Consider the following 27,523-nt stretch of genomic DNA (forward strand, 5'->3'; position numbering starts at 1 on the left):
AAAATGGGAGCAGATAAATTTTTAACAAATTAAGAATCATATTTTAAAATCAGCACCAGGTACCTAGAACTCTTTGGCAAATAGAAACTTTCAAAAGATATAATCAGGTCCGGGCGTGGTGGGTCACACCTATAATCCCAGCACTTTGGGAGGCTGAGGTGGTGGATCACTTGAGGTCAGGAGTTCAAGACTAGCCTGGCAAACATGGTGAAACCCCATCTCTACTATTATACCAAAAATTAGCCGGGCGTGCTGGCTGACGCCTGTAATCCCAGCTACTCGGGAGGCTGAGGTGGGAGAATTGCTTGAGCCCAGGAGGTGGAGGTTGCGGTGAGCCAAGATTGTGCCATTGCACTCCAGCCTGGACGACAGATCGAGACACCATCTCAAAAAAGAAAAAAAGAAAAAATCAGTTATTTAAATTTAAAAGAGTAAGTTTCCCCAGCACTGTTTCTGGCATGATATAATTAAATGATTAAAATTATTTGATTTTTTTTTTCTTCCAATAGAAAGAAATGCAGGAGTTGAAACTAAATAGCAGTAAGTCAGCATCCCGTCATCGTTGGCCCACAGAGAATTATGGACCAGACTCGGTGCCTGATGGATATCAGGGGTCACAGACATTTCATGGGGCTCCACTAACAGGTGAGCTGGCAAGTGGATAATCGCATATTTTAGTAAAACTACTTTACTTCCCTCTTTTAAGTAGATAACGTGTGAAATCACCTTGTTTATATATGTTTGTTAATATACATGTCAACGTCTGTTTATATGTGACTTCAAAAGCTGTATTAGGTGTTACGGAGATTTTTATAATCCCAAGCAGAAAAAACGAGCCGTATGTGATCACGTGTATATAAAGGCTTAAAGAACACTTAATCCACACCTCAGATGAGCTGAGATGAGATTATTCCTTAAATTGCAAAATGTTATTGAATAGAGTTATGCACTAAGAAATGCTTAATTAAGAACCTACACCTCTGGGGAATTATTTTGATGATAATGATGAGAGGCAGGACGTTATATAGGAAATCTTACTTAATTTGAAATATTATGGTTATATAAAGAAAGAAAAGGAGTTTGGACCTGAATCATACTGGGTTTTTAAGTTCTGCTCTATCACTTACTATAATAGCTGTGTAAGTTAACCTGTCTGAAATGTGGAGATAATACTTGCCTTACATAATTACTATGAGCATTTGTGTATGTGCAGGTGGGCGTGGGTGTGTATCAGACATTTATTAGAGTATACAGTAAACAGTTAATGAACTAAGGTTACTAATAGTGTTTACTGTGGGTTGGCTGTGTGCAAAAGTGCTGTGTGAATGTAATTTGATTTAATTACAGTAACTTAGAATGGCCGGTACCATTATTAATCCCTTTTTTATAAATAAGGAAATGGATAAAGAAAGGTTAGGTAACTTACTCATTATTATACAGCTAGTTATTGATAGAGCCGAGATTCACACTCCAGTGGTGTAACTCCAAAGCACTTGCCAGTATAATACATTGCTCCCAGGCAGCCAGAAATAACAAAATTGTTCCTTTTACGTACGACAGACTTCTGAAATGGTAGTAGTAGTGCCCTTTTTTTTTTTCTCTTTTTAGCCCAGGAAAGATTTAGAAAAAAATCTAGTTTAGATGAGCACATTTGTGTGATGGTTCCTATAGTTAAGGCAACCCCACTAGCCTTTTGTGATAGTATCTTCTCAACACAAGCAAAATAACAGAAAATCTTTGTGAAGTCAAGCTTATTAAATGTCGTAAGTCATAGATAAGTATATGAAATGTCTAACGTTCAAACCTTGTTTTCTTAAAACCTTACACATCATATAGGTCCTTGTAAGAGGATAAACAAACCGGCTAGCCTTTCCTGGGGCTTTTTTAGTGATGTGTGCAGTCAGTTATTTGGTGCCTTGTGGGTCATGATTTCCATTTCTTCTGTGTACAGGCATAAAAGGTCTTCTGTTCTTATACAAGCATGTAAATCCAACATTCTCATTGTCTCATTTTATTCTTGCAATGACCCTGTGAAATGTGTAGAAGCAGCACATCGTCATTTTACAATTGAGAAACATGGAGACTCCAAATGGATTATTTACAGGTTCACAAAACAGCTTTGTGGCACTGAAAGGGCGAGAGCCAAGATCTCCTGATTTCTGTTCCTGTGTTCATAGATTCTTTTTCCTTAATAAAAGTAAACATATATCAAGATGGTCCTTGTTTTTTTAAAATAAGATGATTAAAATTAAAGATTAATGAGCTCATAGGAGATACTCAGAAGTACTGAACAGGGTGAAGAAAACTAAAAGCTAACCACCTCATTAACATTTCTTATATTTGAGAGCATTTCCTTCTGGTTCTTTCTCTATACATATAGTATTTTTTATGAGATTGTTACCATGTTACTATGTTGTGTGTAGATGAGCTAGCCTGTTTTTAAAATGTTACTTTAGTTCTGAGCATTTTTAAACTTAAATGTTTTTTGAATATTAATGAGTTCATGGTATCCCATCACATGGAAGTACTGTAAATTCTGTTCCTTTATTTATGTTGTTTCTGGTTTATGCCATTACAAATTCTAGGACACTGTCCTAGTTTTGTAGGGTATTCAAAATATTCAGTTTATGCTCTTACCGCTAGTATCTGATAGTGCCATTTTCGCACTTTTGCTAATGCTGACTTACTAGTTTATAAAATCCTTTGCCAATTTGTAGGAACAAAAGTGATATCAATTTTTAAGTTTTTTTAATACTAGTCATGCTCAACAATTCATGCAAATGGCAGTTGGTAGTTTTGCCATCTTCAACGTACCTTCCAGTTGTTTGGTTTCTTGGTAAAACTCACACAAAACAGATGGAGAAGAGTTTTTGTATATCAACATGAATGTTAATGTGATTTTTTTAAAGCCAACGAACACATTTGTGTTCCTTGTGAGATCCTGTGCGTGAATTTGTCAGGTAATTTTTTTGACCTGAACATTCTCATAATAGCTTCAATTTGCACAATGCAACCTCGTCATTTTGCAGATTTTCAAGGCTCACTTCAAAAACATGTTCCTTGAGGCCTATTAACATTTCTTTCCTAAATTGTCTATTCATATGGTGCTTTAAAAAATTAGATTACTTTTAGTAGATTTATTAGAGCCGCACAGTTTAGAGTCAGTAGTCAATTAAAGTCCCTACTTAAACTTCAGACTAAGATTTTTTTTTATTTAATATTTTATTTTTTCTTTTTGCTTTCATGCAGACAGACATCTTGCAAGACTTTAAGATTCTTGGGCCATTTCTGTCAGGTTGTTCTGTGTTCTGTGCCTGCTTCCTCCCCATAGTAATTTCAAAATAGCTATCCTCACCTCTGTAAGGTTTCCGAAATCAAACTTGGGCTTCTGGCTAGCCTTTTCTAGGTCTTGATTTTTCAGTGCTTTCCAGAGGCAATTGTTTGGAACCTCTTGGCACAGTTTCTGTTTCTCCTTCCATGTACAGGCATAAAAGGTCTTTTGGTTGTTTTCTGGTAAAACTATCATAAAACAGTTCAAGCAAATGACTATTGGTAGTTTTGTCATTAACATGGGTGCCTTCTAGTCATTTTGTTTCCTGGTAAAACAGACCAAACAGAGGGAGCAGACAGTTTGTACATCTGTATGAGTGTTGATGTGCTTTTTATTTTAAGCCAGGGAACACATTTTATGTTATTTATGACATCCTTTCCATGAATTTGTCAGGTGATTTTTGAGCTGAACATTCTGAGTAATAGCTTTAGTTTACAAAATACAACCTAGTCTTTCTGCAGATTTTCTAGGCCCACTTCAAATGCATTGACTATCAGATGGCATCTTGGTTCCTTACGTCCTTTCTGTGACTGAATGTCCATAATTCCACATCATACTGATCTTTCTTAGAAAAGGCAACAGTTACTATCTTCTTTATTCCTTTTTTAATGCTTGCGAGGTAGTTCTTGTTGATCACAGCGATGCTATTCTCTCATTCTTCATGTCATATTTAGCAATTTTTTTCTAGTTTGTCATTTGATAATCTTGATTGGTGTATTTTGATGTACAGAAATTTAAAATTTATGTAGTTAAATCTTTCTTTAACTTCTATTGCTTTTGTATTTATAGCTCTTGCCTAGATAGTCTTAACTGTAGTATAGACTTTAACAGTGTTTTCTTTTCTTTTTTTTTTTTCAGTTGCAACTACTGGCCCTTCAGTATATTATAGTCAGTCACCAGCATATAATTCCCAGTATCTTCTCAGACCAGCAGCTAATGTTACTCCCACAAAGGTAACAAAGGAATAATTTATACATTTATAATTATTTTCTTTTTAAATTGTTTAGGGTTCCTTCAAATAAATTCAAGAGAGCAGTTCACTATTAAAACTTTTATGTCCCTTAAAATGTAGATATTTTAAATTTATCTCCAAATACAGAAATTATCCTTCTTAGTCACCTTATTTTTGTGTTAGTAAGTGTGAATATTTAGAATATTTTAAAAATGGGAGTGGTGGTGGTGGATCCTTCATCGTTCTGTTTTAACAGAAATAGAACTGTAATGCCCTTGCTGACCCACTATGTGGTAAGTACTTTCAGGCCTGATACAGCTATATATATAACAATTGATTGAAGACTCAATATTACAGTGGTAGTTGAATGTGACAGCTTTGAGGACAGAGTGTTGGGGTGCATTTAGACCCTTGCTCTTCTGCTTATTTTGACCACAGGCAAGTTTCTTAACCTCTCAATGCATCAGTTGCCTCATATGTAAAATGAGGATAATAATAATACCTTAATTCATAGGGTTTTTGAGGATATTAAAATGAGATAATAATGTAAAGTGCTTAGAACAGTGCCCAGCTGGCACATTAATGAATGCTCAATAAATGTTATCATCATCATCATCATCATTATTGTTAACATCATTTGATAAATTGTTTAGGAATGAAGAAGGTATTTATTTCATGACTATTTTGGGCATGTGGATCAAGAAAATTCACCTTCATTTATGTTTCAGGGTTCTTCTAATACAGAATTTAAGTCAACCAAAGAAGGATTTTCCATCCCTGTGTCTGCTGATGGATTTAAATTTGGCATTTCGGAACCAGGAAATCAAGAAAAGAAAAGGGAAAAGCCTCTTGAAAATGATACTGGCTTCCAGGCTCAGGATATTAGTGGCCGGAAGAAGGGCCGTGGTGTGATTTTTGGCCAAACAAGTAGCACTTTTACATTTGCAGATGTTGCAAAATCAACTTCAGGAGAAGGATTTCAGTTTGGCAAAAAAGACCTCAATTTCAAGGGATTTTCAGGTGCTGGAGAAAAATTATTCTCATCACGATACGGTAAAATGGCCAATAAAGCAAACACTTCCGGTGACTTTGAGAAAGATGATGATGCCTATAAGACTGAGGACAGCGATGACATCCATTTTGAACCAGTAGTTCAAATGCCTGAAAAAGTAGAACTTGTAACAGGAGAAGAAGGTGAAAAAGTTCTGTATTCACAGGGGGTAAAACTATTTAGATTTGATGCTGAGGTAAGGCAGTGGAAAGAAAGGGGCTTGGGGAACTTAAAAATTCTCAAAAACGAGGTCAATGGCAAACTAAGAATGCTGATGCGAAGAGAACAAGTACTAAAAGTGTGTGCTAATCATTGGATAACGACTACAATGAACCTGAAGCCCCTCTCTGGATCAGATAGAGCATGGATGTGGTCAGCCAGTGATTTCTCTGACGGTGATGCCAAACTAGAGCGGTTGGCAGCAAAATTTAAAACACCAGAGCTGGCTGAAGAATTCAAGCAGAAATTTGAGGAATGCCAGCGGCTTCTGTTAGACATACCACTTCAAACTCCCCATAAACTTGTAGATACTGGCAGAGCTGCCAAGTTAATACAGAGAGCTGAAGAAATGAAGAGTGGACTGAAAGATTTCAAAACATTTTTGACAAATGATCAAACAAAAGTCACTGAGGAAGAAAATAAGGGTTCAGGTACAGGTGCGGCCGGTGCCTCAGACACAACAATAAAACCCAATGCTGAAAACACTGGGCCCACATTAGAATGGGATAACTATGACTTAAGGGAAGATGCTTTGGATGATAGTGTCAGTAGTAGCTCAGTACATGCTTCTCCATTGGCAAGTAGCCCTGTGAGAAAAAATCTTTTCCGCTTTGATGAGTCAACAACAGGATCTAACTTCAGTTTTAAATCTGCTTTGAGTCTATCTAAGTCTCCTGCCAAGTTGAATCAGAGTGGGACTTCAGTTGGCACTGATGAAGAATCTGTTGTTACTCAAGAAGAAGAGAGAGATGGACAGTACTTTGAACCTGTTGTTCCTTTACCTGATCTAGTTGAAGTATCCAGTGGTGAGGAAAATGAACAAGTTGTTTTTAGTCACAGGGCAGAAATCTACAGATATGATAAAGATGTTGGTCAATGGAAAGAAAGGGGCATTGGTGATATAAAGATTTTACAGAATTATGATAATAAGCAAGTTCGTATAGTGATGAGAAGGGACCAAGTATTAAAACTTTGTGCCAATCACAGAATAACTCCAGACATGAGTTTGCAAAATATGAAAGGGACAGAAAGAGTATGGGTGTGGACTGCATGTGATTTTGCAGATGGAGAAAGAAAAGTAGAGCATTTAGCTGTTCGTTTTAAACTACAGGATGTTGCAGACTCGTTTAAGAAAATTTTTGATGAAGCAAAAACAGCCCAGGAAAAAGATTCTTTGATAACACCTCATGTTTCTCGGTCAAGCACTCCCAGAGAGTCACCATGTGGCAAAATTGCTGTAGCTATATTAGAAGAAACCACAAGAGAGAGGACAGATGTTATTCAGGGTGATGATGTAGCAGATGCAGCTTCAGAAGTTGAAGTGTCTAGCACATCTGAAACAACAACAAAAGCAGTGGTTTCTCCTCCAAAGTTTGTATTTGTTTCAGAGTCTGTTAAAAGAATTTTTAGTAGTGAAAAATCAAAACCATTTGTATTTGGCAACAGTTCTGCCACTGGGTCTTTGTTTGGATTTAGTTTTAATGCACCTTTGAAAAGTAACAATAGTGAAACTAGTTCAGTAGCCCAGAGTGGATCTGAAAGCAAAGTGGAACCTAAAAAATGTGAACTGTCAAAGAACTCTGATATCGAACAGTCTTCAGATAGCAAAGTCAAAAATCTCTCTGCTTCCTTTCCAACGGAAGAATCTTCAATCAACTACACATTTAAAACACCAGAAAAGGGTAGGTACTTTGTTGTTAAAGTTAAGCACAATTTTTCTTTCTTTTAATGTTTAGCTTGATGCAGACTCTTTGTGGGATACTAATGTTGGGATATAAACGATGCTTTGTGAACACCCCCAAAATATTTGAGCAATTTTTTTTCTCCCTTAATAAGTTCACGGTGAGGTTTCAAAGAGCAAGAGAACTTAGTTAAAGACATTTCAGTAACTGGAAGATACTTCTATCATGCTAGGGCAGAGCAAAAGAACTTGGTACAGTGTACGGACTCATGCTTGAATCATGCGCATTAACGTGAGTCTTTTTTTAAAGTGTTCATTTTCATTTGTTCTGTTTCTTTTGTCACTCAGAAAACATGATATTGAGGCTGGGCACGGTGGCTCACTCCTAGAATGCCAGCACTTTGGGAGGTTGAGGTGGGCAGATCACTTGAGCTCAGGAGTTCGAGACCAGCCTGGCCAACATGGTGAAACCCTGTTTCTACTGAAAATACAAAAATGAGCCGGGCATGGTGGTGCGTGCCTATAATTAGCAGCTACTCAGGAGGTTGAGGCAGGAGGATCGCTTGAGCACAGGAGATGGAGGTAGCAGTGAGCTGAAATCATGCCACTGCACTCCAGCCTGACTGAGTGACTGAGTGAGACTTTGTCTCCAAAAAAAACAAAAAACAAAAAACAAAAAAAAACATGATATTGAGATGTTCTCATTTTATGTGTTGTATGTCAGTCTTGCTCATGTATTAAATGAGCAAAGAATGAAACTACAGGGATAAATGAATATGTAAGACAGTCAGATTGGTGGTATAAATTGAGGGATTCTGGCTTTTTATGTTTTAAAAGCATATTCATTTTGTTTCCTAAAATGTTAAAAAATGAAATATTCTTTATTTTCTAGGATTTAATTTTAGCCTTTTTAAATCTAATCCCATGGCCTTTTGGACTAGCACCCCTTCCTCACAGCCTGAGAGCAAAGGTATAGAACTAGCATTCTCAGTATGAGATAACAGCAGTTTTTAGCAGCTGGGTAGCCCTTAGCAAAGTATTAATTACTGTGGCTGTATGAAATGAAGTACTTACCACTACAACATGCATGTTAAAGAATGCCAGTTTAAGCAAAGTACCTTTTGACTGGTGGCATGACACCCTTGTTGGTTTGTTTTTTAAAATGTAGTGGGATGCTGATTTGTAATGTACTTCATTGCTCTGCTATTTCAGGTCTGCTCAATGAAGACCTATGTTTTATCTAATGTTTATCTTTAGCCACTAACGTCTGCCAGTATTCACATGTAGTGGCAACGGCATGTATACAGTATGGAAGAGTGTCCCTGTAGGGCTGTTCTTTTGTGCATGGTTTAGAAAAATGTTGTATTTGAAAATGGACCCCATTTTTAACAGCCAGCATTCTACAGCTTGCATATTATATATGTTGCACAGATCATTTTTAGAAGTGTGGCTACTAGAGTGGAACAAGAAGTGGGATCTGTTGAAGGCCTTCAAGAACAGGTTAGGGAAGTGAAATCTCACCCTTAGTGACCAGTAACACATCTTAGCCATGCCAAACAAGTACAATGATAAAGTAACAATCTCTGATTTTTTTTTAAGTATACCAGTTTTATTACCAGCTAAGGTAGCTCTTAATCTTTTATTTTAAAGATACGGTCTTTGAGAAATGTGAAAAGTGTTAACTTAAAAGTGGATGTATACTTGCGTACAGTTTCTGTGAGCTCTAGGTTAAGAATCCCTGAGCTAAGAACGAATGTGCCTATACACTACTGTAGAACATAGAGCCTTATTCTGTTTTGAATCTGATAATGTCATTGTCCCAAGGGACCTTAGAAATGAAGACTTTAGACATGAGTAAACTGAGGCCAAGAGAGGCTATCTGATTTACCCAAGGGGTCTTTACTGAGTAATAGCAGAAGTGGAACAAGAATCTGTATCTTATGGTGTACTGTTATTTCTCCTAGCTAGGAAATGATACTAAGTTTTTGTTTATAATGAAGGAGAGGGACAGATTTAACATTGTAAAAGGAAGGGCACTGGTTCTGCAGAGCAGTGTCATCCAATAGAAATAAAATATAACCTGTGTATGTAATTTAAAATTGTCATTTGGTGCAATGGCTGGTGCCTATAATCCCAGTTACTTGGGAGGCTGAGGCAGAGGGATCACTTGAGCCCACAAGTTCCAGGCTTCAGTGAACTATGATCACATCACTGCACTCCAGCTCTGGGTGACAAAGGTGACAAAGGAAGACCGCATCTCAAATAAATACATAAATAAATAAATTTTCTAGTAGCCATATTAAAAAGAATAAAAAGAAACAGTTAAAAAGGGAAACAGATGAAAGTAACTTTATTGATAGATTTGATTTAACTCATTATGTCCAAAATATCATTTTAACTTCTAATTAATATAAAAATTAACGATATTTTACATTATTGTTTTTCACCAAGTCTTCAAAATCCAGTGTGTGTGTTTACACTTACTGTTAGCATGTCTTGATTTGGACTAGCCACCTTGTGAGGTTTTAATAGAATGTGGCTAGGCTACCATATTGGACACCATAGCTCTCAGAATGTTTCCCTGTCACCAGTTGGTATACATGGCATGCTTCATAACTGGCTTACTTTATTAAACTCCTTTAGCCAGAAGTTCTTCTTTACATTAATAGATCAGAACAGGTTGCATATAGAAGTTTTTTCTGTTTCTAATTTTTTGCCCTTTGCATTGATGGTGGCTGGGGATGGGTTGTTTTCAGCCATATGAATGGTCTTAGATTTTATAGTATTAGCTACCCATAGAGTCACAGTTTTTATTTAATTTTATCTAGTATCATGCTTGAACACAGGCAAACTAGATGCAACTCTAGTCACCTTCCATTCTTGGCAATTGTTAACTTTCCTTACAGGAACTAATCACAGTTGGCTTTGGATTAGTTTCATATGTATACTAATACTTGCTTATGTTTTAAGATTTTTTTCAATTGCTGCAAATGCGTGGATATTTTGGTAAACTATTGTATGCTAAGTATAGTTAGGCAACACTTTAAAATTTTTAACCTTTTTAAATTCTAGAAATTTTGTAGTAATTCTTTTCAATGACTATTAAGTAAACACAAGATTTTTTTTGTTTTCTTTGGTTTTAAATAGATTCTGTGTTCACTTAGGGTTTTTGGTAGAACACTAAATCAGGATGCTAATTCTAATTCATGATTATCGTACATCTCTGCATCAAAGTATATGTGTTTTTTATCAGTATGCTGTTTTAACCTATAGATAGGTTCCATGGTTTTTATTTTCAGGTAGAGTATTAACGTCAATACTTAATACCTTATCTTTGTCAACTTTTTTGACTGGTGTTACAGCAAAAGAGAAGAAAAAACCTGAAGATTCTCCCTCAGATAGTCTCGGTCTCCTGACCTCGTGATCCACCCGCCTCGGCCTCCCAAAGTGCTGGGATTACAGGCATGAGCCACTGCGCCTGGCTGACACATGTCTTAATTCTGGTATTCACCAGATTTGTTTCGTGTTCTCCGTTGTTAGTCATCAAATTTGTCTACTTTTTAAATAGAAACATTAGCTAGAGCAAGGAACTTAGAAACACTCAAGCGGCACTGAATGTGTAGAATTGCATAACCAATATAGCTTCTTTGCTTTCACATTTACAATTAGTTGGAGTTTTAGTTCAGCCGTACCCAGTATCTTCCATTCTGCTTCCAGGAAGAAATGGAAAAATGTCAGCCATGATGATGCAGTATTTTAGTAGCAAGTTGATGGTGTTTTGGTTTCCCATGGGAAATATTGTCACTGGAGCATTAGCAGCTATCGGTCACTTATTAGGGTAAAAAAGCAACTTCAGAAGAATTTAATATATGCCAAAGAATCAACAAAGGAAGTAATCAGCCAGGGCAAAGGTCGCACAAGAGATTGTAATCTAGCAATCAGCAGTGGAATAAGCAGTCAGCTTACCAGAAACCCAGGAAAATGCTTCAGAAAGGGCAGTCAGGACTAAGGCAATTTAATGAAATGCAAAATAAATGAAATCTGAAGTTTAAATAAAAATCTAGATTACAATTCTGGTTTCTAACTCAGTTATGAGACCTTGGGCAAAGTCATTAAATTTCTCTGAACTTCAGATTTTTGGGAGTCAATAAACCAATACATGTCAAAGGGCCTGGTAAACTTTACAGTTTAGACCAGGCGTGGTGTCTCACCCCTGCAATCTGAGCACTTTGGGAGCCAAAGCAGTTGGATCACATGAGGCCAGGAGTTTGAGACCAGTCTGAACAACATGGTGAAATCCCATCTCTATTAAAAGTACAAAAATTATCTGGGCGGGATGGCATGCACCTGGAAGTCCCAGCTACTTGTGGGGCTGAGGTGGGAGGATGGCCTGAGCCTGGGAGGCAGAGGTTGCTGTGAGCCAAGATCGTGCCACTGCACTCCAACCTGTGTGACAGAGTGAGACCCTGTCTCAGAAAAAATAACACTTTACAGTTTATCAGCAAACAGGAAAGTCTTGCTAGGCAATGTAATTGATTAGTTCCGTGCCCTGGATTCTGGGCTCTTAACTGTATGAGCACTGTAGGTGTGAGCAGCAACAATTAAGAAGCTGCAGAGGTAAAGGTATAAGGGCAGTGATTGAGGATGTCTACCAAGCAGATTTCAGCAAGTGTGTTTCAAGAAGTATGCAGCAATCTGAAATACCTAATCCTGAAAAATTTCTAGAATCTAGTCTTTTAATTTTGGCCAGTATTTAGCAGTAGTTTGGCCCTCTACTCTAAATTAATAAAAAATAAGTAGTACTATATTATGAGCTGTGTTATCTAACAGTTTATCTTAGCTAGTAGCAATTAATTTATAGCTGCTATTAAAATGACTAACGTAGTTAAAAGTTTGATGAGTAAGTTTTTTTTTGTTGTTTTTTTTTTTTGAGCTGGCGTCTCGCTCTGTCGCCAGGCTGGAGTGCGGTGGCGTGATCTTGGCTCACTGCAACCTCCGCCTCCTGGTTTCCAGCAATTCTCTGCCTCAGCCTCCCCAGCAGCTGGGATTACAGGCACCTGCCACTGTGCCTGGCTAATTTTTGTATTTTTAGTAGAGATAGGGTTTCACCATCTTGGCCAGGCTGGTCTTGAACTTGCTGACCTCGTGATCCACCCACCTTAGCCTCCCAAACTGCTAGGATTACAGATTTGAGCCACCACGCCCGGCCTTGATGACTAAATTTTAAGAAATGTTTTAGCAATTCTTCATACACCTTTCACTTATAGTTACTTAATTCCTCTACTCTTATCATTTGATATTTTCATTTTATTGTGTACCTCTGTAAGGCCGAATCAATAGATTTTGAACAATCTCACACTTAACCTTTAAAAAAAATCTAATAGGCCCAGTTTCCTCTCAACAATCTTTGAAGAACCTTCGAGAAAGGAGAAACACAGACCTCCCGCTTCTAGACATGCACACTGTAACCCAGGAAGAGGGAGAAGGCATGGAGACAACTGATACGGAGTCTGTGTCTTCCGCCAGCACATACACACAGTCTTTAGAGCAGCTGCTTAATTCTCCCGAAACTAAACTTGGTCTGTTACTCTGTCTAAATATGTTCTTCTTCTTTAATTTCACTGTCTTATTTAATTACTATTACTCTAAGGTACATATGCTTTTTTGGGCTGCTCCAATAAAATTTCTTTCAATATTCCACTACCTGTTTGTATTAGGGTTCTCTAGAGGGACAGAACTAATTGGATGGTTGGATGGATGGATGGGATGGATGGATGGATGCTTATTAAGTATTACCTTACACGATCACTAGGCCATCTGCAGACTGAGGAGCAATGAGAGCCAGTCCAAGTTCCAAAACTGAAGAACTAGGAGTCTGATGTTCAAGGGCAGGAAGCATCCAGCACAGGAGAAAGATGTAGCTTGGGAGGCTAGGCCAGTCTCGCCTTTTCAGGTTTTTCTGCCTGCTTTATATTCGCTGGCAGCTGATTAGATGGCACCTACCAGATTAAGGGTGGGTCTGCCTTCCCCAGCCCACTGACTCAAATGTTAATCCCTTTGGCAACACCCTCACAGACAACACTCGGATTAATACTTTGCATCCTTTAATCCAATCAGGTTGACACCCAGTATTAACCATCACACTGTCCAAATGGAAAAATTATTAAACAAATCTTTTTTAAAATAAAATGCTAGCTCTTGCCCTAGGCTTGAACCATAAATAAGTGGTGGGAAGTTTATAGTCACAAATAGGTGGTGGGTATTAGAAAGCAGGATAAACTATCCTCTCACCCTTCCAAGAAACTGACAGTTTCAGTTTATTCCTCTTGATGAAGTAATGCTAAATTTTTGTAGTGATGTTTTGGTATATTTTATTACTTGTAATTAATATTACTGTTCAAAATTTAGGGGGAATCTGTCATCTTCCTGAAACTTCAGAATCACCTGGAGTAAGGGTCATTTGTATTCATGGTCACTGACCACGTGGGGTAGAAACTGCAAGTCATGGTTCCTTCAGGCAAAGTTAATAGTGGTGACACGGAGGCATCATGATAGAGCAGCAGACTCCAGAAGCCAATTTGACTTTGTGATTTCTGAAAAAATTACCTGTCAACTGTGAGCCTGTTTCATCATCTGTAAAGTTTGAATAATGATACCTACCCCGCCTGATAGAAGATTCTTATGAGGGAACATGATACGTGACCAGTAAATGTTAATGCTTTCCTTATACGTGAAATGACATAAAATCTTGGAATATTAATAGATGGGAAGAAGATGTGTAATAAAACTGTCTATAAACACAATTCTGACAAATTTCAGAACTGGGATTCATAGGGCTTTATTCAGTTAGATTACATGCTTTACAACAGAGATACTGTTTTATTTGTGTCACCTACAACATATAATCTGTTGATTGAGGTATGCTGAATAGATGAATGGCAAAGAAAGCAGACCTATAAAATATCACATAGTAAGATATTTATATTTAGATTTTTCTTATTTAGAATCTTCATCTGTAATGTATGATTTTGAAAATTAATTCTTGGAACAACATCTTGCAGAGCCTCCATTATGGCATGCTGAATTTACCAAAGAAGAATTGGTTCAGAAGCTCCGTTCCACCACAAAAAGTGCAGATCACTTAAACGGCCTGCTTCGGGAAATAGAGGCAACCAATGCAGTCCTTATGGAGCAAATTAAGGTGAGATCAGAAAACCTGGCCACCGTGAAAACCGCCAGTTTGGTTTTCTGGACCCTCCACACACATGCACCCAAGTTTAAAAATTCACATTGCAGATGCATCTATAACGTCTTGATCTTTATATTAGATTCCTGATGGTGAGAAATATTGCCTTTTTTTTTTTTTTTTGAGACAGTCTTGCTCTGTCACCCAGGCTGGAGTGCAGTGGCACGATCTTAGCTCACTGCAAGCTCCACCTCCCAGGTTCACGCCATTCTCCTGCCTCAGCCTCCCGAGTAGCTGGGACTACAGGTGCCCGCCAACATGCCTGGCTAATTTCTTTGCATTTTTAGTAGAGACAGGGTTTACCATGTTAGCCAGGATGGTCTCGATCTCCTGACCTCGTGATCCACCTGCCTTGGCCTCCCAAAGTGCGGGTATTACAGGTGTGAGCCACCGCATCCAGCCAAAATACTTCTTTTACACCTATTACATAAAGATTATTTCTTAATTCCTACTTTTCCTAAGAAACCGTAATAGATTTAGAAACTAGAGAGATGTTCACAAATCATTGTTCACATATGCTTAAATAAAAAATGGGTGTGAGTCTTTGAATTCTAAAGATAACCAGTGAATTTAAATTATTCAACTGATATTTATAGTACTGAACTACTAAACAGTTTTCAGGTGGAGATGGCAAAGTGGCATGGGAAGTTTTTCCTGTTTAAAGTAGACACCAGAAACATCTAGGAATGTTGCAGAACAGTTGAGGATTACTCAAATGAGGTTTTTCCACCCTGGCTCACTGATAAATCACCCCTCAGAATATAGTCATACTGCTTGTTGAGGAGTTCTTATGACCCAGGCCCTGGGCTTTACATACGTTATTTAATCTCATCACTGGTTGAGAGAAAAATTGAAGCTGGTAAATGGTGGAACAAAATTCAAACTCATAGCTGTCTGAAAAGTACATGCTTTTCCCCTGTACTTTGCTGCTCCTAATAGATCTGTCCTGCCACTGTGCAAGGCCACTAGCTATCCTTGTCAGATTATTTTAAAGCCGAATTCAGTTATTTTCAGTAAATTGTATATATCATGACATTCCACCATTAAATACTTCAGTATGCATCTCTATAAAATAACATTTTCCCACTAATAAAAACATTATCATAGCTAACAAATCACTAACTAGCCCAGTAAACCTAAATGACTTATTTAAATGTTATATTTTCTTTTTTTTTTTTTTTTTGAGACAGTCTCGCTCTGTCACCAGGTTTGGAGTGCAGTGGTGCAATCTCAGCTCACTGCAATCTCCGCCTCCCAGGTTCAAGCGATTCCCCTGCCTCAGCCTCCCGAGTAGCTGGGACTGCAGGCATGCACCACCATGCCCGGCTAATTTTTTTTATTTTACTAGAGACACAGTTTCACCATGTTGGCCAGGACAGTCTGAATCTCCTGACCTCGTGATCTGCCTGCCTCAGCCTCCCAAAGTGTTGGGATTACAGGCATGAGCCACCACGCCTGGCCAAATGTTATATTTTCATAAATTTGTACTCTCTTCATGATTTCTTCGTCTTCTTTATTGTCACTTTTTTAAATGGTCCTAGGTTTGAGGACAAAGTTCGCTAACTTTCTTGCCTAACCTAAAATGAAAATATACTAAAAGCTATGGCTTGGTTTCAACCTGGAAATCTTCCTCAAAGACTTGAACATGATATTACCTTTTTTATAGTGTTCTTTGCCTCATTTCTCTGATAGTGTTTTACATTGTCTTATATTCCTGAATTTTCACTGTGTCTGAACTTTTGTTTTGATTAAGTGCCGTTCACTGTGGACGTCTTAACTGCCTGGGACTTTAGGAACAGGGTAGGGGCAGGGGGTTAGTGGAGGCTGCCGATGTTCCCCTCAGCCCATTTTCAGAGCCCCATGCCATACTGGCTTAGTTTCTATCGAAAGTAGAAGGCAGAGGGAACATCTTGGTACCAACCCATGGCTCCAGTTAGTTGCTCCTCATGGAGACGTTCCATCAGTTCCCCAGCTTTCAACTCCATTTCCATGATACCCTGTGCTTCTGAGACAAGAACCCCAGTATTTACACAGGATGCATCCTCTCCTCTTGTCAGTGATACTTGGTAAGCTGCTGGACTGACTCATTTCCACCTCTTCATCTGTTTCTCGTGAGAATTTCTTGATGTGTCTCATCTACTTTTTCTCCTCTTGTATTAGCTTGTTGCTTTTCTACTTCGCCCCTCTTCCTTCCAACCCCAAATAGCTTAGGACAATGGAGTCCTATAGCCCAACACTTGGTTCATATGCAGCAATCCACTTTCTAGGCAAATGCAGCTTTGAAACTATCTCATAGTTGGAGTTCCGGTTTTCATGTCAAATGGATTTTATACGGTGATGTCATAAACTCCTTTGAAATGCTTCACATGCAGCTGCTGTAGTTAACTGAATTCCTTCCTTTATTGCCATATGGAGGGAAGGGGGAAATTTGGGGGGAAGAGAAGAAAAATACATGAGTTCAGTCTGCCATATTTAATCAGAAGCTCCTAAAGCCCATTTTTAACTCATTTCTCTAACACCAGCTTCTCAAAAGTGAAATAAGAAGATTGGAAAGGAATCAAGAGCGAGAGAAGTCTGCAGCTAACCTGGAATACTTGAAGAACGTCTTGCTGCAGTTCATTTTCTTGAAGCCAGGTAGTGAAAGAGAGAGACTTCTTCCTGTTATAAATACGATGTTGCAGCTCAGCCCTGAAGAAAAGGGAAAACTTGCTGCGGTTGCTCAAGGTGGGTAAAAGGAGAGTCTCAGAACTTCTGACTTCTAACTTAAACTAAACAGCCTGGTGGTTGAGAAGTTGTCTGTATGTGTAACTTTTCAATTTTGCTCATTTGAATTGGGTCTGTCATATGAGTAGGCCGTGACTAGATTTGAAAAGCTGACTTTTTAACATCTTGAGGCAACTGTAGTACATTTATATAATTTTAACGTTCAGCAAAATACAATAAGTGCTTAGCTTGATCTTCTAGCTCTTTGAAAATTGGATTTTTATCCTGGGGTTGAGTTCTGGTGTTCAGCTGAACGTGGTTTTGTTTTAAATTCTACTTTTTAAAAAACATTTATTAGCTTGTTCCTTTTCTACTTCACGCCTCTTCCTTCCTCCAACCCCAAATAGCCTAAGACAATGGAGCCATAGAGCCCAACACTTGGTCTATATACAGCAGTCCACTTTCTAGGCAAATGCAGTTTTAAAACTGTGCCATAGGCCAGGCGCCGGTGGTTCACGCCTATAATCCCACCACTTTGGGAGGCCGAGGCAGGCGGATCACAAGATCAAGATACCGAGACCATCCTGGCCAACATGGTGAAATCTCGTCTCTACTAAAAATACAAAAATTAGCTGGACGTGGTGGCATGCGCCTGTAGTCCCAGCTACTCAGGAGGCTGAGGCAGCAGAGTCGCTTGAACTCACGAGGCGGAGGTTGCAGTGATGTGTCACGCCACTGTACTCCAGCCTGATGGCAGAGCGAGACTCCATCTCAAAAAAAAAAAACAAAAAACTATGATGTAGTTAGAGTTGGTTTCCATGTCAGATGGATTTAATACTGTGATGTCATTAACTTCTTTGAAATGCTTCATATACAACTGCTATAGTTAACTGAATTCAAGCTGCATCTTAAGAATTATGGTTTCGTTTTTGTTTTAGTTTTAAATTACTTTTATTTTTGACATTTACAAGCACAAGGAAGACGCTATAATCTCTCTTGAGTTGTCACCCATCTCTAACAGTTTTCAACTCATGGACAATCTTTTGGCGTAACTAGGGGAGAGTTAGAGACTTAAATCCCACACATCATTTCTTTCCCCAGTGAATAATTCAATGTTTATTGGATTTCTCTGTCACCTATACCTAGTTTATGTTCATTTTGCCTGTGTTATTGTGAATGTCTTTTTATAGTATCCTAAATAGGGCTCATATATTGCATTTGGTTGATATTCCTTAAGCTTTATTTTGTTGTTGTGTTTTTGTTTGTTTGAGACGTAGTGTTGCTCTGTCACCCTGGCTGGAGTGCAGTGGTCCGATCATGGCTCACTGCAACCTCCGCCTCCCGGATTCAAGTGATTCTCCTGCCTCAGCCTCCCAAGTAGCTGGGACTACAGACGCACGCCAGCTAATTTTTCTATTTTTAGTAGAGACGAGGTTTCACCATGTTGGCCAGGATGGTCTCAATCTCCTGACCTTGTGATCTGCCCGCCTTGGCCTCCCAAAGTGCTGGGATTACAGGTGTGAGCCACCACACCCAGCCATTTTGTTGTTTTTTTATCTATAACAATTATATATATAAGTATATTTTTAATGTGCCACTTATTAATTGAAGAAAGTGGTCATTTATGCTATAGCAGTTCTATATTTGGGTTTTAATCATTACAGGGTAACACTGAGCTTGTTCCAATTGCCTATAAATAGGAAGATCCAGGTGCAATTGGGTGGGATGGTGGACAAAAATACATCATAGATGGTATTGTGTGCTTTCTAAGACATGAGGAGGCCCAGAATGTCCAGACAACTTACTTTTGACTGATTGACCTTATCTAGTTGGTGTTCTTTAACATGTTCCCCATCCCCTGTAAACCCTAATAACTAAACTGATAAGAGTCATCCTCAAAATTGAGCAGGCATCTGAATCATCTGGTATACTTACTAAAATTCCAATTGCTGGTCCCCAATTTCTGACCCAAGATTCTGCATTTTTAGCAATTTGTTGCTGATGCTTCTGGTCTGGGGCCCATACCTTGAGAACCCCCGGTCTAGAGGCCTGATAAGATTCAGGCTTAATTTTTTTTACAGACATACTTCATAAGTAGTATTGATAGTTTCTTTGAATCTGGTTTTTAATAATCTTTCTAATGATGAAGGAGGAATGTTCTCAATACTGACAGTAATCTCAGTTCTTCAAACTATAGGATAGGTTTCTATAGCCACAATAGTATTTTTGTCACAAGGGCCCAAATAAGAATACATCATGTATATTTTTAATACTTATTCAAATTACAAATTCACTGTCTTTAATTTATTCTAACAAAAGTAAACCTAATTTTATAGTTATAAAAAAGAAGAAATCTACTTCTAGTCACCTAAGAGTAAAACTGCCCTTATAAAAAACAAGACAGAAATCTCAAAATTATAACTAATTTTATAGTTATAAAATTAACCAGGACTTTAAGAACGTTTGCATTTTAAAATTAAAGTTTTCAATAGTTTTCAATACAACAATGATACTATCTCAAAATACTCAGCATGTCTAACAGGCCTCTTTTAAAAGCTCAGCATGTTTAATGTAGGTGTTGCTAACGTCCAGGTGGCTCCTATAAGTTAAGGGTCCATTGATTTAGAAGTTCTAAAAGAGACTAACCTAAGGGATACCAATAACAGATATTTTTAAAGAATTTCATAGAGGAGATACACATTAGAAACCCAGAACTCTAAGATGTGCATTTGCTAAGTCCTGTAAACAGACAGGAAAACACATTTACATTAGTTTGCCCTTTAAAGATTATTTCCTACTTGTCTCTTATCAATGTGAGTACATAAAAGAGACCTTATTACAATTAAAAACAATGATGGTTTAGCAGCAGATTTAGATACCTTACATTCTCTCTTTAAGAGAGAGAATGTAAGGCCTGGTGCGGTGGCTCACACCTGTAATCCAGCACTTTGGCAGGCCGAGGAGGGTAGATCACCTGAGGTCAGGAGTTCGAGACCAGCCTGGCCAACATGGTGAAACCCCGTCTCTACTCAGAATACAAAAATTAGCCGGGCGTGGTGGCGCATGCCTGTAATCCCAGCAACTTGGGAGGCTGAGGTAGGAGAACTGCTTGAACCCAGGAGGCAGAGGTTGCAGTGAGCCGAGATGGTGCCATTGCACTCCAGCCCAAGCAACAAGAGCAAAACTCCTATCTCAAAAAAAAAAAAAAAAAAAAAAAAAAATAAAAAAAAAAAAAAAGAATGTAAACTACAAGATGGTTCAAAAGAAATTACACGGAATTCAGCATGGGAGAAACAAAAAACAAGAGTGGGAAAAGACATCAAACATGTTTTTACTAATCGAAGTTCTAAAAGGAGAGACGAGAATACAGCACAGATAATATATGAAGAGAATGGCTGGAAATCTTTCAGAACTGTTGAAGGATATCTATCCACAGATTCAAAAACCCAATAAAATCTCAAGCAGTATTAAAAAAAAAAAGAAGAAATCTACTTCTAGTCACATAAGAGTAAAACTGCCCCTAAAAAAGACAGAGAGAAATCTCAAAAGCAGCCAGAGAAAGAAGACACATTGCCTCACAATAGACTTCTCAACAGCATTGGTGTAATACTATCTCATGTACTAAAAGAAATAACTGCCAACCTTTTATATTTTCCAAGATCTCTTCTGGAAAACAAAAACTTTAAGAATCTGCCTTCACTGGAAATTCTTAATGATGTACTTCAAGCAAAAAGAAAATTTCCTAGGTAAAAGGTCTAAGATGCTAGAAAGAAAGACATGCAAAGGAAACTTACCACCATATTACAGATATGGACTGTCAGTCTGACTGGTCACACTAGGGGCATTTTGTTACCAAGGCCTTGAAAATAATAACCAACACTGCATACATGAGGGATGCCAGAAGAAAGGTCTGAGAGCCACTCTTCCTGGCACTGAAGGAAACAGGGCCCATCAGAGCAAACAAGTACCTTTTGCCTCTCTCATCTCCTTGGAGGCAAATGTTTATAATCTCTGGTTTTGTGTAAAGTTTATAACAGTATTTTTCATTCAGGTTGCTACCTATTAGTGGATGGTGAAATTAATTTGGTGGATCACATTCAGGATATTTTTTTTTTAAATCAAAAGAATACAAGCTGGGCTCAATGACTCACACCTGTAAGCCCAACAGTTTGGGAAGACCAGGCAGGAGGATTGCTTGAGAACAGGAGTTCAGAATCAGCCTGGGCAACATGGCGAGACCCTATGTCTACAAAAATTTTAAAATATGCCAGATCTGGTGGCATGTGCCCATAGTCCTAGCTACTCGGGAGGCTAAGGCAGCAGGATTGTTTGTTAGAAGGAGTTCGAGGCTGCAGTCAAACTTCTGGTCGAAATCCTGGTCACGCCACTGCATTTCAGCCTGGGCAACAGAGTAAAACCCCATCTTTAAAAAAATATTAAGAAATAAAAATAATATGTGAAACGTTAGAATATGTTGAATCTGGTAAGGATAAGCAATTATTTCTTGAAACTCTACATACATACATGAGTGTTGGTAAATACCTGACTGTATCATCAGCTCTAGATATAAAATGTTTATGATGTTGGCTGTGAGTTAATGAGGAATAGTTTTCCTTTCTGTGGGTTTGGGTGTATTTGGGAAACATTAGCTTAGGAGGGTAAAGTAGGTTACCCAACTCTGAAAAGCAGCATCAAAATCTTTATAATAAACACATATTAGGGGCCCAACTTAAATTTCAAGCAGATGTCATGAGCTGCTCAGAGTAGCATGTTACAACTCTGCGTTATAAGGTAAAATGACTTAGAGTGTAGCAGTAGTCCCCAATGTCAAATAGACAGTGGTAAGTATAGATTGCTCTTCTCCTTGCATCACAAATGTTAATTCACCCTGCCCCCACACGCATTAAAACTCAGCATATTTCACAAATTGAGTGTTTCATTTCTATTTGAGATAGACTTATGGTAAGTCAGCTTTGCTCCCCAAATAAGTTAGCCATATAGTACTTCTATATGCAAAATTTGAATCTCAATTTTACTACTCAAGCTGGAAGTAAAAGTCATTTTTGTATATCTTCTTTGCTCCCAGACTGGGTTACAGTTTACAGATCTGAATATTGTCACTTGTACACCATACATACACAGAGGTCTAAAACTCTCTACAAGTAAATAAAGAAAAAAAGCCCAGCAACCCAATAGGAAAATAGGCCAAGCCTGTTATAGGCTTTTTGATCATCTCCAGACTGGCAGGAAGAGAATGCATACTCACACTGTAAGTGCCTGATTTGATTTGCAGAGGATATAGAACCTTATCAGAAAACAGCCTTCCAAGGCAAGAGCAAATGCACCCTATCTAAGCACAGCTTTTCTCCAATTCTTATTTACCTAAGGAGATGAATAGCTGCCAGGAACATTGTTTGCACAAGGGCAGGAGCCTGCCAGATCTGAGAACACAGCAAAATTTTTATTTTGTCAAAAATCTTATATTCAGCTTACACCATTCATTTCAGGTGAACATACAACAGTCTGCATTTCAGTTTAGGGAAATGTTTACAGTCGTCTGGTTCTCTTTATTCTTGGGAACAAGGTTACCTCACTTGGAACACATAACCAGTGCCAAGTTGTCCATCCCTAAGCAATATCGCTTCCTCCTACTTTCTAGAAGTTCTTCAGGTTGTGGAAGACAGACTTTTCAGAATTGTTTGCCCTCATTCCCTCCTCCAGAAATGCATGCCTTTGTATAATCTCTTCCCCTTGAGAGCCAGTAGGCTAACCTAATGAGTTATGTTTAACCAGTAGAATACAGCAAGAATGATAGATTACAAGAGATTGTGGCTTCTATCTTGCTAGCGGCCTCTCTCTGTCTTCTCTGCTTGCACACTTTGTTGAAGCAAGCTACCATCCCAGAGGCAAGGAACACAGGCCATCAGTTTAGCAGCCTTGAGGAACTAAATTCTTCCAACTACCACATAAGTTTGGAAGTAGATTCTTCTCCAGTCCAGCCTTCAGATGAGACCCCAGCCATGCCAACATCTTGATTGCAGCCCTGTGAGAGACCTTGAAATAGAACCATTTCTGATCTCCTGACCCACAGAAACTGTGAAATAAATATGTGTTAAGGTACTAAGTTTGTAGTAATTTGTTACGCAGCAGATTGTAAATAACACGCAGATAAAACCAGACAGAACAGAAAAATAAAATGACTTTAACTCTAGAAAGTTTCCCCATGTAAAATTTTGAAAATGCTACTCTGCCTAAGGTCAAACTGTCATACATATATACGTATGAAAACACAGAAAGGTGTCTGGAAGGGTAATACCAAATTAAATCTTTATCCAAGAGGAATGAAAACCAGTATTCACACAAAAACCTATGCACAAACCTTGTGAATATATTAAAAACCAGTGAATTATGCACTTTAAAAAGGTGAATTATGTGGTATATGAATTATATCTCCAAAACATTTAATTAAAAACCTGTACACAATTATTCGTAGAAACTTTCTTTAAAATTGCTAAAAACGAGGAAGATCTCAGTTATCCTTCAACTGGCAAATGAATAAACAAACTGGTACAGCCGTGCAATTGAATACTGCTCAGCAATAAAAAAGAATGCACTGCCAGTTCAGCAACATGGGTAATTCTCAAATGCATTATGCCAGTTGACAGAGGTCAGACTCAAAATACTATGTACAGTGTGATTCTACTTATATGACACTGAAAAAAGCAGAACTATAAGGACAGAAAACAGGTTAGCGGTTGCCAAGGAGTGGGAGAAGCAGCCAGGGAGAACTTTGAGGAGATGAAAATGTGCCAGGCCTTGGTCGGTGGTGGTACGTAACTGTGCATTTGTCAAGACTCAGTGCTATATGCTGAAAAGGGCAGGTTTTACTATAAGTAAGTTGTACCTCAATAAACATGATTTTTAAATGATTAAAACTTTGGTTTTTGTTTGTTGTGGTTCAGTTTTAAGGTTTCCCATAAATCTATTGGTTTTAGATTCTAAGTTGTATATAAGCTTCTGTTTTAAAAGAATTTTTTTTTAAATCCCCTTATCGTCAACAATATTTAGTTGTGCTGGAAATTTTATTTTGGAATTGTTTAATAGAGAAAGACAATAAATAATGTTCAAGAACAGACATTGATTCATAACATCAAAGTATATTGTGAGAAGATGGTATTTCAGAATAGAGGAAGAATTTCTTATGTGCTGGTAAGATTGTAGATAATCATTTCTGCATAATTTTCATAGCTGGATTGCTTTAATAAAGCCATTTAAAGGTTAAGTTCTAGATTGCTTCATGTTGCTTATCAATGTTTTAAAGCTAAAATAGAAAATTAGCTGTTAAGTTGGCTCAACCGGAAATTCAGTATATCCTTTAAAAAGAGAAATTTAGTAAGCAGTGTGTCTAAAGAATGACATATGGTTGGGTACAGTGGCTCGTGACTGCAATCCCAACACTGTGAGGCTGAAGTGGGAGGATCACTTGAGCCCAGGAATTTGAGACCAGCCTGGAAAACAGTGAGACCTGCATCTCTACAAAAAAACAAAAAATTACCCAGGCATGGTGGTACACACCTTGTGGTCCCAGTTGCTTGGGAGGCTGAGGTGGGAGAATCACTTGAGCCTGGGAGATCAAGGCTGCATTGAAGTCTCATCACGCCACTGCACTCGAGCCTGGGTGACAGAGCAAGACCCTATCTCAAAAAAAAAAAAAAAAAAAGAACCCCCCCCCCCCACCAAAAAAGGCATGTGATCAGTAAAAAAGACATTATTTGCTTATATTGTAGAGTGGTTCTAAAATATAGATTTTACATTGAGAAATTTTAATACTCTCTTTTTTCTTTTTTTTTTCTTTGTTTTACTTTCTAAAGATGAGGAAGAAAATGCTTCCCGTTCTTCTGGATGAGCATCCTATCTTCGTAGTTGGTTTGGACTTCGATAGGTTGATGGAAGGAATACTTCTATTAACCAAATAGAATCTGTTTACAAAAATGGTTCGTGTGTGTTACCATTATTCTTTTGTCAAAAAGTGTGTATATATGTTTGCATTTACATATATTTGTACATCTGTATGACAGATGTATTTTAAAAGTTTCAACTTGAAGTAAAAGTACAACAGCTTGAAGTGTTGATACCAGGCCACAGCCCTCTAACTCATGTGATCTCCCATGCATGCTGCCAGAATAAAACCACCAGGAATGAATTCACTCCCCACTTCTCTGGAACCTCAGGACCCGCCCATTTCTCGGCAGTACTGTGAATTTTGAAGTTAAACTAAATTTTGGTACCATACCAACTGGAATTTAGGCTTTAAAAATAATGTTTCAAGGCCAGGTGTGGTGATTCATGCCTGAAATCCCACTACTTTGGGAGGCTGAGGCTGGAGAATCGCTTGAGGCTAGTGAGCTGTGATTGTACCACTGCACTCCAGCTCGGGGAACAGAGCGAGACCTTGTCTCTAAAAATAATAATAGTAATAAAAATAACGTTTTATGACTATTTATTGCAAGGTCAGATTTACAGATTGTTATAAATTGTTGAGAAATTTTTGTGATTAGAATATGAAGGAAAAAGCTTTGTTGGTAAAAGTGACATGTTAAGGGGCTATGAAGTAAATATGCTGCAGTTAATTGTGCTAAGTTAAAATACAGTTTAGTTATTTGCTTTAAAATAAACTCTTCTTTTTTTCTTTAAAGTATACTACCTCAAAACTCATTATGTTGTCAGAGCCCTAGAGCTGGCTAGTGTAACACTGACTATGAGTAGGTGGGCCCACCACTTGAGTTGAGGTGATTTCATGGTGTCTTTCCAGGCTCTTGATAGGGTGTCACTGCATGCAAGCCATGAATCTGTTTTGAGAATCCTCTCCATTTTCCCAAATAAAAACCTATCCCAACAGTGACTATATCACTCAGCATTGGATCTAAATATAAAAGTGGTGCTTTCAGTGTTTTTGGCAGATAGTGTTCCATAACCTTTCCATCAGAAGGGATTTTAGACACCTTAGAGGTCCGTGCTACATCTTCACAGTTCCTCCGAATAACCTTAGGTGGTAGTGTTACTTGCCTTTGACACCTGTGCATATGTTTTAATGACTAGATCCAAACTGTGTTGTTCTTAAATCAAAAATTGGATAATTTTTAATATTTATGTATTAATCACACAGTGTGCTCTCTGAAGTTCTCTTAAGCCTTCAGTTTATACTCTTAATTTTCTTTCTGAGCTGGGGAACTGACTTTGCACTTTGGTTACACAGAACATTGGTTTCCAATTTAGTTTAACTGAAATTTGCTGCTGATATGTTGAGTTTGTTCTTTAAAAAATATCTCATATATCTCGTCTTTCCTCCTTAGAAGAACAGACCTAACTAGCGAATGTATGAATGAAAATGCATCTATTTCAGAGCCGACATGAAGAGTTTAGTTTTTTTACTTTATAAACTGTGAATATGAGTATGCCAGCTGCATTAGATGTAACTAATCATATTTAAATATATTTCACTTTGACTTTAGACCTTTTGAAGTCTGTATAAACTTGTTTTGAAATACAGTCTCCACTTACGAATGTCATAACAAAATACTTTTTTGCATGATAAAAAATTACTTTGATTACAAAAGGCATATTCTTTCATGGTTTCTGCAATGAGAGGAAGTGTAATGATTATTTTAATATTTCTATTAAAACTGTATATTTTTATGGCTGCTCTTTTATGTTACCCACTGTCTCTTTGGGGTTGTTAATTGGTTTCTGAAAGGGAACTTCAAACTCCTTTACTACTGGCCTTCCATGGTTGGTCCCTATTAGGTTGTTGTGAGAACGTCGACCAACTCTTTGATACCCGCCAGGTAGACCGTAGTACCTGCCATGTCTGACACCCTGCATCCAGCTAAAACCAGAAACAGCGCTGGGCCTCCCTGTGGACAAGACATTGATTTGACCAGAAGCAGATGTCTGGCTAAGGCTGCCAACCAAAGGGTGGCCTTAGATGAAGGGCTTTGTTCAGTTAGGGGCAGAGGTCATTAATTTTTTTTTTTTTTTTTGAGACAGAGTCTTGCTCTGTCGCCCAGGCGTGAGTGCAATGGCGCGATCTCGGCTCACTGCAAGCTCTGCCTCCCAGGTTCACGCCATTCTCCTGCCTCAGCCTCCTAAGTAGCTGGGACTACAGGCGCCGGCCACCATGCCCGGCTAATTTTTTGTATTTTTACTAGAGACAGGGTTTCACCGTGTTAGCCTGGATGGTCTCGATCTCCTGGAGGTAATTTATTTCTTTGGATGTTTGGACTAGGAGATGGGGAGAGGCAGAGCAGAAAGAGAAACACAGATGCCACAAGGAGGAGGAA

At 38.2% G+C, this 27,523-nt stretch overlaps 2 protein-coding genes across 6 annotated transcripts in view; both read left to right on the top strand.

Moving 5' to 3' along the window:
* RANBP2 (RAN binding protein 2) overlaps nucleotides 1-11,494 on the top strand; it is a 1,122,820-nt gene extending 1,111,326 nt beyond the window's left edge. Inside the window, exon 25 of the mRNA XM_047445367.1 lies at nucleotides 10,597-11,494. Coding sequence (XP_047301323.1) covers nucleotides 10,597-10,650 — 54 coding nt within the window. The 3' untranslated portion in view covers nucleotides 10,651-11,494. The remainder of the gene's footprint in view (nucleotides 1-10,596) is intronic.
* The window catches only part of RGPD5 (RANBP2 like and GRIP domain containing 5), a 97,088-nt gene extending 70,190 nt beyond the window's left edge, over nucleotides 1-26,898 (top strand). For 2 of the 5 annotated variants that reach the window (XM_006712794.5, NM_005054.3), the window contains exons 18-23: nucleotides 510-645; nucleotides 4,190-4,284; nucleotides 5,012-7,235; nucleotides 14,296-14,435; nucleotides 17,003-17,204; nucleotides 25,055-26,898. In XM_006712794.5, coding sequence (XP_006712857.2) covers nucleotides 510-645; nucleotides 4,190-4,284; nucleotides 5,012-7,235; nucleotides 14,296-14,435; nucleotides 17,003-17,204; nucleotides 25,055-25,089 — 2,832 coding nt within the window. In that variant the 3' untranslated portion in view covers nucleotides 25,090-26,898. Of the gene's footprint in view, nucleotides 1-509; nucleotides 646-2,043; nucleotides 2,213-4,189; nucleotides 4,285-5,011; nucleotides 7,236-8,126; nucleotides 10,228-14,295; nucleotides 14,436-17,002; nucleotides 24,883-25,054 lie in introns of those variants that run through there. The other 3 variants (XM_047445980.1, XM_017005081.3, NM_032260.3) reach the window with 3 other exon arrangements.
* Nucleotides 26,899-27,523: the final 625 nt, after the last annotated feature.

The sequence above is a fragment of the Homo sapiens genome, chromosome 2 (assembly GCF_000001405.40).
Source record: "Homo sapiens chromosome 2, GRCh38.p14 Primary Assembly".
NCBI classification, from domain to species: Eukaryota; Metazoa; Chordata; class Mammalia; order Primates; family Hominidae; genus Homo; species Homo sapiens.